Genomic DNA, 14,577 nt, shown 5'->3' with positions numbered 1-14,577 from the left:
GCTTTCCGTGCCGATAGCACTCACGGAAGCCTGGTTAACGTTCCTAAAACCCGCCGGACTTTCTGTAAGAAGTGTGGCAAGCACCAACCCCATAAAGTGACACAGTACAAGAAGGGCAAGGATTATCTGTATGCCCATGGAAAGCGGCGTTATGACAGGAAGCAGAGTGGCTATGGTGGGCAAACCAAGCTGATTTTCCAGAAAAAGGCTAAAGCTACAAAGAAGATTGTCCTAAGGCTTGAGTGCCTTGAGCCCAACTGCAGATCTAAGAGAATGCTGCCTATTAAAAGATGCAAGCATTTTGAACTGGGAGGAGATAATAAGAGAAAGGGCCAAGTGATCCAGTTCTAAGCGTCATCTTTTATTATGAAGACAATAAAATCTTGAGTTTATGTTCAAAAAAAAGAAAAGAAAAGAAAAAAGAAAAAACTATATATATTCAATGAACATCATTGATCAAATTCTTCCTAGTGTATAGGCTAATTATTTTATGAGAAAATGTTTTTTATATTTGGTTTCTCATGGCATGAACTAAAAAGTTATTCTAAAGTATAAGAATGACTGATGCCTTAGTGAATTATGGGACTTTGAGATAATATAATAATTTATAGCCAATTTAAAATATTTGCTGTTTACTTTCCTTAAATGAAAATTATTGGCCAGGCATGGCGGCTCACACCTATAATCCCAGCACTTTGGGAAGCTGAGGTGATTAGTTGAGCCCAAGAGTTCGAGACCAGCCTGGGCAACATAATGAGACCTGCTCTCTACAAAACATTTGAAAAATTAGCCAGGTGTGATGGCATGTGGCCGTAGTCCCAGCTACTCTGGAGGCTGAGGTGGGAGAATTGCTTTAGCCCAGGAGTTTGAGGCTGCAGTGAGCTGAGACTGCACCACTTCAGCCTGGGTGATGGAGCAAGACCATGACTCAAAAAAAAAAAAAAAGAAAGAAAAAGAAAAAAAGAAAAACAGTTAATGGAACAATAAAATATTAATATTGATATAAATATTTTGATATGAATTAGGGTACTCCATTTTTCTCAATCTTCAAATTAGTTCTTCCTAGATATAAATATGTATTAACTGAGGTCACTTAGAAATTTTGGGTCAAAATATTAACAGCTAAATTAACTTTGTAATTATATCAGTTTTGTTGACTATGTGAAATTTAAATTTTGTCACAGCCTCTTAACAAATTACTACTAATTTCTAATTTAACTTGTGACTTTATAGATCATTCATATGCTACAAATAGCCCCTGAATTCTTCTTTTTAAATAAAGAGGATTGAATCAGTTGATCTCTAAAGTCGCTTCCATCTGAGTCTAAGATTTGTTTTTAACTTTACATTTCAGTGGACTTTAAGTACAGTTTAAGCTCTCATTATGCCAAGAGTATTTTCATATTAGAGACATCAATAACAGTATCTAAGTCATTTGCCAGAGAAAGAGAGAGAGAGAAGAGGTAAGTGAATAAGAGGGTGGAAGATAAGGATAGGGATAGGGAGAGGAAGAGGATATTTACTACAAACGGATGTTAAACTGTGTTTTTTTCATGCAATATTTTTAGTATTAATGAAAAACTATTTCTTTGGTTATGTATTAGAAATTTGAATGTGCTTATTTTTGGATTGTTAGTTAAATATTTGTATTTTGCAAAATGGTATCAACTCAGGAGCAAAAGTAACACTATGAGTCTTGTTTGAAATTTGGTGTAAAAATCTCAAGACCCTGAAACTCTGTAAACTTGTGCTTTAGCACTGCAGCAGCCCGTGCCTCATAGGTAATAGAAGGTGTCATGTGATACTCTGAACTTTTCCTTGTCATCCCTTCATTTGAGAACACTTGCTGCCATTCTGACTCCCACTAAAGATTAGACCCTATCATAGCAAAAAACCCAAAAATGTCCCTGCCCCAGTCTCAACTTTTACACATGGGAGAAGAATTGGTTTCAATTTACCATAATTCAAACTATTAAATAACTATATTTGTCCAAGATAACACCCTGGTTTATACCCCCAGATACTACCAACCAGCCAGTATAAACTCTTGACCTTAAGTGTAATGCACGCCATATGCTTCACCTTACTGCAGAGGCAGACCATTGAATCCTTCACATTTGAGTTGGTTCAGATTAGTGCCAAACTGGAGGTAGCACAACAATACAATTTTAGAGTAATGGATGTTATTTAGAAAGAGAAACAATAGTTTCAAAGGCAAAGATTCATTAAAGAGAATCAATGCCTTTAACACAGCTGCTGGCCAATGAATAATTACGTGATGATGGTGTCTATACGTAATGGACTTATTTAACATGTGAAAAGTTGACTTCAGCCACTACAGATTTTTTTCTAATATATAGGACGTCTTTTAAATATTTAGAAATAACAAAGTCATTTTCCTGATAATAAAGTGTACACATTCACTATAAACAATTATAAAACTATTTTGAAACTGTTAGAAACAATACAAATATCCACTAATCTCACCAACTAGAGATAGTATTAATAAGCTCAAATTGTTGTCATTTTGAGTGTGTCTTTGAAATCAAATATATATATAATAAATACAACAAAACATGTATGGTGTGAGTGTGTTTGAATCAGATGGTTGTAACCTGCTTTCTTTCTCAGCATTATATCATGATTGATTTTTCATATTCTCTATTATTTTAGAAAATGATTTTTAATAGGCTGTACTTATCATGATTTACCATAATTTATTTAATCCATTTTTATTGTTTGACATATTTCAATATAATAAGTATCACTTCAGAGATACAATTGTATGTACGTCATTTGATATATCTAATTATTTCCTTTCACTATATTAATTCATCTGCAATTATTGGATTAAAGTTAGCATTTTACTTACTCCTAAAATTTCCACTAGATAATCTGTCCTAATTACACTCTTCCCAGAAGTGTAAAACATTTATTATTTTCCAAAATCCTTTTCATCATAACCTATTTGTTTTTTAATGGTTATCAATTTGATAGGTGGAAAATGCTATCTTTTTTAACTTTCATTTTTATTACAAGTAAGTTTCCAGTAGTTTAATATTTCTTGATCATAAATAGTTCTACTTTGATAATGCAGTAATTCATGTCCTTTGTTCCCTTTTTGTTAGGCTCTGTTTTTCTAGCACTGAATTCTATGGGGATTTGATTTTTCTAGATTCCACTAAGTAACATTTTGCTGTTCAGGCCTTACAGAGATGTCCCTTTTTTTAAAAGAAAATTGACTCTTGATAAATACAAGGGTATTAGATTAAATTTTCTGCATTAGAAGTATTTCTACATTTATAGTTGTAGGAAATCTATATTTATATATTAAACAAAACTTAGAAAACTGGAAGGAATTAATAACTAAATAGCTGAAGACAAAAATTAAGGAAAATAAGGTGTGGTGGCCTACACCTGTAACCCCAGCACTTTGGGAGGCCAAGGTGAGAGGATGGCTTGAGGCCAGGAGTTTGAGACCAACCTGAGCAACATGGTAAGACCCATCTCTATAAAACATTTTAAAAAATTAGCTGAATGTGGTGATACACACCTGTAGGCCCAGCTACCAGGGAGGCTGAGGCAGGAGGATCACTTGAGCTCAGGAGTTTGACGCTGCAGTGAGCTATGATTGCACCACTTCACCCCTGACAGAGGAAGATCTTGTCTCCGAAAAAAAAGAAAAAAAAGTTGCTCAAATATTTACCCCAAGAATGTACCTATCAAATGAATTAATAGACCAAGAAAACACAGGTATGGCATTTGAGGGGCCATTTCACCGGCTGTATTACATATATTGGAGAAATTAGTGCTTGGTTTTTAGGTTGTGTCTCAAGATCCATTTGTTTCTTTGTAGGTGCCACTCATGAGCCCGTGGGCTGTAAGGGGAGGGGAAAATACACTGAGCAAGTGGTGCTTGGTGCCCCTGACCTGTGTCCATCCTGATAGCTCTGGTTCTCACTGTCCTTACGTAGCTGTGTGCTACAATGTGTTTCCTAAAAACAAACAAACAAACAAAAGCCAGAGGTTTCTTCTGATATTTAAGGTTTGGAAACTTCTCCTTCAGAAGGTTCTCATGTCTTTATTTTATATTACACTTTAGTCTATAATGTATTGACTTTTAGTGTTTATTTAATCTATAGTCTTTATTCTACATTTACATTTTGTTTTACCAAATTGTACTGTAAATCACCACAAAACATTTCTGGAAATAGGAATTCAATTATAAAAGAATGTACATTTTAGTTGGCACTAAGCAGTACATTGAGCTTATTTTCGGCATAGCTTATATATACTCACTATATGAGTCAAGCATAAATGATGTAAATAGATGTAAAATCTTAAGTTCTATGTTATTCATTTTATGAGTATTTTATTTCATTGTTAGTATGCTTATTTATTTGGAGTTAAGTGAGTTGCATATTACACTATAATTGAGGTTAGGGTTAGTCCCGTAGTTATAATCTCACTAAACCTCTGTTGTTACAGGACAGTTCATTACTTTTGAACTAATGGCTAGATCCTGTACAACCTAAAATCAAATTCCACTGTAAATTTATCCAAAGTGCTTTAGGTAAGAAATGACATATGGCTTTTTCTTTAGAATTTAATAGTTCTTTTGGCCATATGAAGCATTTTTGTCAGGCATCTCAAATTCCGGGTTTTATATGCCAAGAGTCTTTGTTTTACTATTACTTTGAAGGAAGTGGAAAAGCCAAGTGAAATATGTACAACCTAAATGTATAATCATTTAATTAAAAATGTTGATAACTAAAGTTACATTTATCATTAGCATATTATTTATTTGATCAACAAGTGTTACCTGTGGAGGGTGTCCATGTTCCTGGCATTTTGAACAAAGAGTTGGACAAAAAGCACAAACAAAACCACGAAGGAAGAGCACAGATTTATTGAAACAAAAGTACATCCCACAGAGTGGCAGCAAGATTGAGCAACCTGCTGGAGACCACCGGTTACAGAATTTTCTGGGGTTTAAATACCCTCTAGAGGTTTCCCATTGGTTACTCGGTTTACGCCCTATGTAAATGAAGTAGTGATCCGTGACCAGTCTGGCTGGTCGTGGGAGGGGACCAGTCATAGGTACTTTTCATTTTTCATCTGCCAGGCAGAAAAGGGGCAGGTTGCAAAGGGAGTATAACCTCTGATTCTTTTGTTACTTGGGCGAGGAAAGTTGAGATTTTCCTTTAGATTTAGTTATAGGAAGTCAGTGTGAATTGGCTTTAGGCAGTGTGAACTGCCTCTGGAACTTATTCTCCTGCCTCACAAGCATTTATGAAATCTGGCCCTAGACAAGATGTCTCAAGATATTAGAGTGTTATTTGGGAGAAAAGGTGGAATGAATGGTTAGATATAAGTAAATACTTCAAAATTTTCTTACAAAGCTTGTTTTCGACAGAGTGTGGCTTCCTTTTAGTCAGAACACGGACCTGAAAATTGATGATAATGATGACAATAATAAAAATTAACATAAAGATAGTATCTATCATTTATAAATACACTGTACATCAATTTACTTGCTAGTTGAGTAACATAAATTATATAATTTAATTGTCAACATGAAGCTATAGAAATAAACATCTTTATTTTAGAGATGAGGAAACCTAGACACAAAATATTAATTAACCTGGGCCACAATCAAAGTGTTGAAAACTGACAAAAACAAGACACAAATCAAAGTATCCTTTTCAGAGACAATGCTATAAATCGCTATAAAATAGATCGTATTGGCTGCAAAAATATATAATGTCTCACTGGGAATAAGTCTGATTTACAGAGACTGGCATCACAACTGGTGTCACAATATGACTGCAGACACTGTGGGCAAATCCCCAAAGAATTTGAAACACTGTTATTGCATATGGACACAACTGTTGTTCTAATTCCAGTGAAAACTAGAAATGAACCTCTGCTCAAGGGCAGAAAACAAAGCAAAAATTATGAAATAAAAAGAAGCTAGCAAACAAAACAAAACAAAAACCTGAAGCTGGGATGAGCATACAATTAGTTAAATTTTCTTTGCAGTTGTAGAAGCAGTTACATTTTCCTGATGTGGCCCAATAGCTACGTAGGTACTAAAATCTTTTGATAAAGTGAAACTCTTAGATCTAAATGCGCTATTAAGTATATGTATTGAGCTCTTGTTTTGTGCCGGACACTATGATAGAAAACATCAGCATAAGATGCCATCAAGCAACAGGAAGTACAGAGTTTAGTGGTGTGAAGTAGGCCTAGTAGGAGTACATTTGAAGTTTGTCAAGACCTGTTGTAACAGAAACATTTACTGCTCACCAAATAGCCATCTGCTTCAGAATATTTTCTGGTCCTCTCTCAGGTATGCATGGCTTTGTTCTGGTCCATGAGCTGTGAGCAGAAATGGCACCTACCACCTCTGCCTCAAAGTATGTAACACCAGGCATGTGACCCTCCACCTCTTTTTCCCCCTGCTGTGGGATCTTGGAGACACATGCTGAGATGACTGATTCACAACGCCAACTGCTGCCTGGAGAGCCAACCATCTTGTGCCACGATATGCAGGAAATTTTTCCAAGGCAATAAGATGTAGAGGTAAACTTGTGACAGCATTGTCTAGTTCATCCTGAAAAACACACCTGGCTCTTCTTTATTCAAAAAGGACATTGCCAACCAAGCTGTTTTAAGTGTATCAACAGTTAATTAACAGTGATGCTCCTGATACACAAAGGAATAACAGACGTCTTCACATAGGGGGTTTTGCTGTTTCAGGAATTTCCTGTGTTTCCTTGAGATCTTGTTCTGGAGGTTTCCAGGTGTGGTACCACATTGTGAAGCTCCTAATCATGGGGTCAAAAGGATCAACTTACAGAGAGACTTTAGGTCCTACATCATTTTGACAGATATATATGTAATTTGGTACCTATTTGCAAGGGGAGGGAATAAAAGAAAGAAAAAGTTAAATGACACCCTCTAGCTTAGCACTGTCCAATGTAAACCACATAGGTCATTTTAAGTTTTCTAGCATCTGCATTAAAAAAGTAAAAAAGAAAGAAAGTTAATTTTAATAGTATATTTTATTTAGCCCAATGTATACAACCACGGTTATTTTAACATGTAGTCAATGAAAACCTTCATTAATTTCACAAGAAGTCTTTGAGATCTGGTATACATTTTAATCTTAAAATGAATCTCAATTTGGAAAAGCCACATTTCAAGTGCTCAACAACCACACGAATCTGCATTCCACAGTGAGGTCTAGATGTAACTTAAATTTGTTAAACATTTGTGGAGCTTATGCCAGTCATGATGGTAAGTATGTTCACAGCATTGTCGAAATTGTTTATTGTAATATTCTCTTGAGTTAACAAATGAATATATCCACAGAATTAGAAACTGACAGAGCTAAGATCCAAATCAATTCTCCACCCTGGCTCTGAAGATGGAGGAATGCTCTAGGGAACTACAGGATCATGGGACCCCTCTATAATTTAAACAAGATGAGTGAGGCCCCCAAATAAGGTACTGACTGGTGGTGGAGAGGATTATGGAGTTAATGAACATTAAATAAGTATAATTGGGAATACTTCACTTGATGATTGATTGCATGGGGGAAAAGGAGAAGGAAGGAGGGGCTTGGCAATTGTGGGTTCCTAATTCTGACTTAAGCAACTGACTTGTCAATAAGGCTGTTTAGAGAGAGACTGACATGGGACTTGCTCACTGAAAATTGAGATTTAGCAATGTTTGATCACTGGAATTGCTAGTACAGTACAAGGAAAATAACCCACTTTTTTTGGTTCTAGCCATTGCTATATTTGACACAAATGCCAGATTACAGTGATCTAACAATTGCTTCTTAAGAAAAATATTGTTCACATAACAGAACTAGACATAGATTAGCAAGCCTTTAATACTGCTACAGAAAGAGAAATAGCTAATTCAATAACCTTAGATTTACAGTGCATAATATTTACAAGCTTCTATGTGATTCTTTATATCTTTCTTCTCTAAAAATACACACTTCTCTAAAAATAGGCTTTATCACCACATGTGCAACAGTGAACATTTTTGCAGTTTTAAAACTTATGTGCTTGTCTTTGGTTCTGGAAGGATTCCAAGTGGTGCTACCTGGGCCTGAGACCTTTGCCTGGTGGAGTCTATCTGATGAAGGTATGATCAGATCTTAAAACCCAAAATGACTCAGCTTTCAACTTTGATCAAATCGCATCATTAACTGTAAGAGGTAGGATATCAGAGGTAACCAAGAACAAAATGTGTAGAAATTCAAACATTTCACAAGCTATTGACAGGTACTACTGGCCCACAGATGATAATTATGATGAATAAAGTAATTAACATGGAAGGTCATAAATGTGCTATTTTTATTGCTCTATAGTTACTATAGCAAAGGAATGTTCTTAAAATTGTTTGCAATAAATAGAGGTATTATTATATTTGATTATGGGTCAAGTCTATTTAATTTGACCTTGAGTATATCTTCAGAGAAACATTACCATCACTTTAACCAGCACACTTAATCATCTTTAATAAGTTATTTGCAGAAATGCTGCTTCAGATTACTACAGATGTCCTAAATTAGAGGAAAAACCTGTCAGTTTTCTTTTACTCATAAAGTCCATTTTCAACATCAGTTGTCAGTTTGATTCTATTTTATCATGAAGTATTACAAGATTATTTTGACCTTTTCAGTCACTGTGCTCTTTTTCTACCCATTAGTTTTTTTATACCCTCAAGAATGAATTGTTAGAAGTGGAATTGGACCAACGTAGAGTCCCGCAACTTTGAGCTTATAGGACAAAGGTCATGCAAAATGCGTGTCCGGTGGGGAAAAAAGAATCTTTTCTAGTCACTCTAAGGGTTGAAGAGGTTGCATCTAGTATTTATACAATCTTATATAATATAGAGACAGCTTTGTTTTGATCACAGGCCCTTTTGTGGATGAAAACAACTGTTAGCTGGTGGTATGAGAAATTGCCTTGTCTTGGGCCTTAGAGCTCAGAGCTGGTATTCCTCCTGGGTTCTGGTTGGTGTTTGGTACAGAATTTCCTTACTTGTGCTTTGAAGTGCTTTACAGTGCAGTTGGCCCAGGACTTCTTTTTTTTCCTCAGACACTAACAGCTGTTGAAAACCAGCTTATTCCCTTCCCATATACTATGACCCCAACTTAGCAGAAATCATCCTCTAAAAATAGATGAAATTTAGAAAAACCTTTTGCTTACAATGAGTTTCAGGTAACAAATTTGTAAGACGAAAAGGTAGTGATTATTCAGAACTTCAGATATTCAATAGCCTACACATGTCTAAGCATTGATCACATCTATATCCACATTTCACATTAATTATTTGAAACTGTTTCTCAGAATAGTAATATTTCATTATTACTTCTATCAACAGTATATATGCCGTGCAGTTAAATATGAACCTTTCTGATTACTTATTTTTAAAATTCCAATTAAACCGAGATATGAACCTGGAATCTTTTTACCATGATCATATGTGGCTTACAATTTATGTATTAACAAATTTAAAATTATTTTTAATATCTTTAAGCTTGTCTCACTTTCTGTCTTTTCACCTGCTAAATACTCTTCTGATTTTTTTTTTTTTTTTGGCCCATTCTGACCTTCTGTTACCTTTCTTGTTTCTTATGTTAATTAAGACATGGGCAGACAGTTGTCATTTAATCATTTCATCCTTGTTTTGATCCATTTCCATAAAGCCATTGCCTTGTATGAAATACTCCATATCACTCTCAAAATCTTCCAAAAAAAAAAAAAACCTGTGCTCCATCAAAGTACTATTATAATGTTAAACTCTTAAAAATATGCTTTTATAAGAGATCTTGTATTTGGCCTTAACTTTTCATTTTGTTTGGTATACAAATATACAACATTTTTCCTTTATTCCTAAAAAAAAAAGTTGACATAAAAGGCAGCTGGTATTTCTTTGTTGAGTCTGAATCATATAAAATATGAGTGTGCAATTAAATATTTTGGAGAACTATACTAACAGCTAAAACACAGAGGTTTTTAGTAATCCAAATCATAAACCTGAGCTCAAAATGGAAAAGCCACTTTAAGAATAAAACTTGCTACAAATTGATGAAGTATGAAAAATAAAAACACACAAGAAAAACTTATCATAGTGCCAAAGTTACATTGGTTATGTTGAACTCTTCAAGTTGGAAAACTTAAAACAGAAGACTAAGGTTTTACTTATAATTCCTGTCTGTATTTTCGATTCAATTTTTCTTCTCTGAGGTTTGTGAACTTTTCTAAATTCAATTCATATAAAAGGATAGCCTTGCTTTTTAAGACATGGGAGAAATAAACGGTGTAGTTCCCTTAAATTGTGGATAGAAATGTAATGGTTATGAGTTGGATGCTATAGAAAATATAACATAATATAGAGCATTTCATTATAGAATTCTCTTGAATTAGTTTGCCTGTACCTCTCCCTGTTATGGAAAGGATATAATTTTCAATGACAAAATTTTGAAAAGGCCTACATTTATCAATAAAAATAACATACAACGTGAATGCAAATGAAAATGTAGAAATTAATTATTGTCTATTAGCATTATTATGAGTTAACTATCAAATAATTATGGATTTAAAACAGGTGAACAAAAGGAAGTCCAGATGGAAGTGTTTGAAATTTGAGAGGCAATCTATGTCTTCCCAATCATAAGACGCCTCACAAAATAAAAAAAGAAAAAGAAAGACAAGAGATCATTAGAATTTTATTAAGTGTGAATACATATTATGAAAGAATGCATATATTTTGAATTTTTAATTCAATCTTTTAGATTTAATTTTATTAGTCATAATCTATATTGCATGCTGGCTTTCTAAAGATCATCCGTTAAATAGTTCTAATTTTGATATATTTTGTTTCCTCTCTTATTGCTTTAGGCAGAGTTATATTTAGCGTTGAGAACAATTTCATTGATTATACTATACCGGAATTGAATGGAAGAAAAACACTAATTCCTGAAAGAAATAAATTTAAATGCAGGAAGACCTAGAAACTAGAAAAACAAAGTACGTTGGATTGTTTTACAGTTTAGAAGTAAGGTTTTAAGTATTCATTTCTTTTGGTACATGTAAAATGAATGTAACAATTTTTACTGTGAATGTACCAATTAATGTTATATAAAAATAATAACATTTTAAAAATGTGTAAAAGTATACAGAATCACTAAATAACATGCATTAGCCATAGCAAAATTGTTCCATAAACTTTATAATGCATAGTTCCTGGGGAGAATCAGTTCCTTAGTTTTATAAAATAATGTACATCATAAATCACATAAATTACCATTGGGTATTTAGCATATTTGGATACATTTTCAAAATTCTTTATTTCAGAAGAACCAACTGAAGGACATAACTGCTACTTTTTGGCAAAATATAGCAGAAATAATATTTCTATACCCAATAAAGTTTTCAGAAACAAATTACAACATTAATTTAATTATCCACCCTTTAGTTCATATATTATGAGTATATGTTACCAAGGAAAATTTATCTATTAGGTAAAATTCAAAGTAGAGTTTCCTATTTAATTTTAAATATTTGAAGTTCCATGACAACTCATGTCACACGTGTGCAGAAGAATGGCAACTTTTAAAAGAATCGTTGTGAATCTTAAAGTAAAATTTAAATACAATTTTGTTGTATTGCTTAATATGAGCTCTAGTCCCCTTAAAATAAAATAGTCCTAATAAAAAGAAATCTCTGCCTTTACTCTTGAATGTCATTTTATTTAAGCCGAGGAAACAATAGATATACACACTTATCAAGTTTAAAGAACCTAGCCTACGTTTAAAATAATTATAGCTGTGGACCCTGCAAGAGCTAAGTAGCTTACCTTTTCACAGAATCAACCTCTTTATAATGTGTTACTTGATATTGAAACCTTACATGAAATGTTGGCATTAATATAACTTATCTTCAGGAAAACTCAAGTATATTATAAATGTAGGATAAATACTATATCATACATAGTTGTAAATGATTGTTATATAGAAATTTTATAATAAATTTTATAATTTTTACCATTCTTCTTGATATCATTAGGTAAAAAGGCATCTTTTCAATATTGGATTTTATGGATGTGAACACTGAAGTAGCTATTATAGGAAATGCTAGGGATTTTTTTCCCGTTGTTACTACATTTTAAAAATTTCTCTATAACCTAGAACATAAAATTCAATATTCTATCTTATTCCAAATATTCTAATAAAATTTAAAAATCTTTATGTAATGATTAATACATATTTAGAAATCCAGAGAAAATTAAAGTTATATTTAATTCTGGAATTCACCAAGACGTCCTTTTTAGTCCTTCATTTTTTCCTTCCAAATATTTTCCTTATATTCTGTTTTCTATAAGAAAACTGGACATCATAATTTTTGCTGATATTAAATGTTCTGTGTCTTCAATTAAAAAGACCTTTCTTGCTAGCTTTGTTTTCATTGCATGCCTTTGGAATGACTTCCTCCTTTTCTAACCTTTCTTAAATTTTTCTTCCCAGGTTTCTGGCCCCACAGTTCTAGAGGCTGACTGACTGGGGCAGGTTGTAGAGAAACTTCTGGACAGGTTGTTAACATCTGACACAGTGAGTGAGAAAAAATCCAGCACAGTCACTGGGCAGGTTTAAGAAGAAGTGGCAGCCTCGGGAGATGAAAGGTTTGTGTGTGCTTGTTGCTGGTTACCTGCAACACACTGGTTAAATTCAAATCCATTCATTTAGTAATTGCTTAGCTTCCTCTAAACCAATGTAATGCAAACCAAAAGGACCGTTGTGGATGTTTTGTACTGATGTCTGCAGATCATGAGTAATTTTAGTCTGTCTTGTCTGACATTTTCCACAATGCTTTTAGTTGACAGCATTATATTATGTAAATATTTCTGGTTAGGTTTATTGAGGTGGTTGCCTAAATCTCACTTTAAATAAAGCCTTTAATGCTTTCACCCAGAATCCATAGAGAAGCTACATGAGTTGGGGAAGTTTAGTGTTGCTCTTTGTACTTTAACTTTTAATATCAGAGCACATATTGAAACCATAAACACAATGAAAATACAAAAAAATATTCCGACGATATTGGAGGACTATAACTCCCCCACCTCTTTTTATTCTTAAAGAGCCAAGGGCGTGGGGAGTGGCAGGAAGAGATATTCTCAAGATCTAAGTCCTGGACGCCATCCTGCGAGTGCTTAAAGCCCCTAGAAACGTGCAACCTGAACAACACCCCTTTTCGAAGTCTAAAACAATATTAGATTCCCAAAATATCGGCAAAGAAAGTCTTACCGTCAGACTTGCAGCAGGTTTCAGCTCAGACCCAGACTGAAAAGCTGAGCAGCTGGTGAACAAAAGATTTAGTTTTTTTTTTTTTTTAAACGAAGTCTGCAAAACTAATTTCCCTCAAAATAGAGCTCAATTTCCGTTAAAGAAAGCAGCGCTTACAAATCTCAGAATTCCTGATCAACCCCCACTCCACCCCACCTCTGAGCAATAGAAAACAATTCGATCTTTCACACGGATGTTATTGCGAAGCCACTATTCTGCAGTGTGACTTAAAAGAAAAGAAGATAGTGAGGCTTAAGCAAGGGGACTGGAAGAGGAGGGGAAAGGTTCTGCTTTGGGGACACCTCTCAAAGATTAATCAATGCTTTTTCCTAATTCAAACCAGATGTCTAGCCCAGTTTGCTGTACCCATTAATCCCACTAACAACTTCAAAGACCTGGTCATCATCCTCTGGACACCTGAGACAATGAAAAAACGGGGCGACACTGCTGGTGGCGCATTTGGGGCCCCGGGCAGAATAGGTGACTACAGATATTCTCCTGATGCGACAGGTCGCAGATGGGACATGACTGTTCCTCCTGCTCATTACAGCGCCACTCACTTGTGTGTAAACGACTCTGCCCCCAGCGGACCCTGTCGCCCGCCAAGCAAGTAGCAGCTTCAAAGCCCTGCCCTCGCTCTCGCATGCTTACTAGAGGCGAGTTTTCTATTTTATTTTCAGGGGTGCAAAATTGTAACCAAGTGCCCACGGTGAGTGAATTTTGGGAGCTATCGAAATGTAAGAATTCTCAGTAAATGGAACCCTGGTGGTAAGGAATGCATTAGCGGATTTATTTTTGAGCAGAAGAGAGTGGATTTCTGGAGGAAACCGAGGAGATCTGGGCTAGCTCCTGAGGGGAAAGGCTAGAAATGCGCGTGCAATCTACACATCTCATATGACCGGGACACAATCGCTTGGAAATATTCTTGACCCAGGAAAAGTTCTTCTTGGTGGACAAGTGGCTAGGAAATTGAGCGGGACCGGGAAAGAGGGGGAAGGGAGCCTCCACCTGGCATCGCACGTGAGGATGCCAGGGAGCAGGCATCTGCAACCCTTTCAGACTCACGCCTTCCTCCCACCCACCCAACCAGGTCCGTCTTCTTTCTGCACTGAGAACCGCCTTTTCCAGGCCATGGTGCTCATCCCCGCAACCTCAGATCTGGCGTCCCAGCCTATTAACAACCCACCGACAGAAACCAGCTGCGAAAA

The 14,577-nt window shown here is 35.0% G+C and overlaps 1 long non-coding RNA gene and 1 pseudogene across 1 annotated transcript; one reads left to right on the top strand and one right to left on the bottom strand.

Annotated features, from left to right (window-relative positions):
- Positions 2-398, top strand: RPL36AP26 (ribosomal protein L36a pseudogene 26; annotated as a pseudogene).
- On the bottom strand, positions 4,891-13,405 carry LINC02587 (long intergenic non-protein coding RNA 2587). Its single transcript, NR_110094.1, has 2 exons — positions 13,331-13,405; positions 4,891-6,913 (listed from the first exon to the last, which is right to left on the bottom strand). It is a non-coding gene; the product is annotated as a long intergenic non-protein coding RNA 2587 (long non-coding RNA).

This window comes from Homo sapiens, chromosome 7, assembly GCF_000001405.40.
Source record: "Homo sapiens chromosome 7, GRCh38.p14 Primary Assembly".
Taxonomy (NCBI): Eukaryota; Metazoa; Chordata; class Mammalia; order Primates; family Hominidae; genus Homo; species Homo sapiens.
The sequence above is the reverse complement of the archived record's forward strand: the minus strand, read 5'-3'. Positions and strand labels throughout refer to the sequence as shown.